Source organism: Homo sapiens, chromosome 11 (assembly GCF_000001405.40).
Source record: "Homo sapiens chromosome 11, GRCh38.p14 Primary Assembly".
Lineage (NCBI taxonomy): Eukaryota > Metazoa > Chordata > Mammalia > Primates > Hominidae > Homo > Homo sapiens.
The window spans coordinates 104,704,779-104,706,333 of record NC_000011.10 but is presented as its reverse complement, the minus strand read 5'-3'; the positions used below and the strand labels follow the sequence as shown (position 1 = coordinate 104,706,333).

General features: G+C 37.7%; 2 annotated features.

The window, feature by feature from the left end:
* Positions 394-513: an enhancer, noted in NCBI's record as "active region_5458". NCBI's record gives its function as "activates an Ori minimal core promoter by ATAC-STARR-seq in GM12878 lymphoblastoid cells {active_cell/tissue: GM12878}" and the evidence as "EXISTENCE:reporter gene assay evidence [ECO:0000049][PMID:35858748]".
* Positions 524-653: an enhancer, noted in NCBI's record as "active region_5457". NCBI's record gives its function as "activates an Ori minimal core promoter by ATAC-STARR-seq in GM12878 lymphoblastoid cells {active_cell/tissue: GM12878}" and the evidence as "EXISTENCE:reporter gene assay evidence [ECO:0000049][PMID:35858748]".

Here is a 1,555-nt window from a genome sequence, read left to right as displayed (position 1 = left end):
CTGACAGTCTGCAGTACTGCTTTATGTGTAGGCTGTGTTCTTGAAAATTTCACATATATATATACACACACACATACACACACACACACATAAAAGCCCATAAATTGTTTTTAATTTAAATAAATTGGTCTTCAGATATCTTGGGGGCAGCCACTTTTGCAGTTTCATATTTTTGTAATGCCAATCCAGCAGTACCAACATTATCTCATCTGTAAATTCAGATCTCTCTACATAAAACTAACAGAAACTCATTACTTAGTATACTGTGGTGAGAAACTTCCTGCCATACCAGCTCCTCTGCCTCCATTAAGGACCATTATGACAGACACACCACACAAAAGCACCCCGTCAGCTAGACTTGTTCCTGGAAATGGCCAGCCACAGAAAATCTTCAGTCTCTAACATTGAATAAGACTTCCTGTTTTGAAATATTCTGAAAATGCCGGCTCACCTAGTTCCAGCACACCAACTAATCTCAAATATACCTGAATAAGTCTCTGCTTCCACATCCCACTTTAATGTAATGCTCACCAATTAGAGACGCTTTCAGCATTTTTTTCTTTTTTACCAGGTAAAATTTACTCTCATTTCTAACATCCTTGTACCTCTGCTGAAATGAAAGTGATGACAGATGGGTTCTCTTCCTGCACATTTATGAATAATCAGCCTGTGTTAATTTTAACTTGGGTTCAGTTTTGTATTTGACAGTGTATGATGTATATTTACTTGTTTCTATCCTACACAGTGTAAAGGCTTTCCGAGGGCAAGAGTGTATATGCTTACATTTTTACTGCCTGACACTGCCTGGCACACTAGGAGATCCAATTTATATTGACTGGACAGATTCATGTGTCTTGATAAAGCTGTTAGTTAAAAAAGAATCCTTAGTTTTAATGGTAGTGTATTTTATGGAAGTAAACAAAGACCATCTGAATGAGAACAAGCAAAGTTTATTTATTCAGAGTTTTTAATTGCAAAGGAATCAGCCATCATTGCTTGCATTTTGGCAGACTCAAAGTGCAGCAGAAAAGTAGGGAAGCTTCATAGTTGAGAAGAGGAAAGGCTTCAACTATTATTCCCTGATTGGAGGCTGTTGTTGTGGGGTGGCTAACTAGAAGTGAAGCATCGATGGAATTGGTTAGAGGTGTATAACTGGCTTTCTCTAGTTGGTCCTAAGTTGGAAGCAGGGACAAAAATTATTAAAGTTGTCAGTTATTAATCAAGGCCTGGTCATTTGGGGTCAATTGTAATAGGAGTTATTGTTTGGCTTCCTGGATTTATTATTAGAGATAACATTCTGACTTCCTACAAGTCAGATGTGTAGCAAGCTGGCATCCTGTGCTGGTAGCTGCAAATTGTGGGTTAGGGTTCTATTTTTCTATATGGTCTGGCTTTCACTCATTTGTATATTCTGTCTCTCAATTCCTTCAGTAGCATCCTAGAAAAGACTCTATTGTTAGTTCATCCTTCTTATTGAGCAGATCTATCTTCCTTATCCAGACTCTAAAAGCTTTAGGGATCCCTATTGCCTAACAAAAAAAGTCAAAATCCTTTA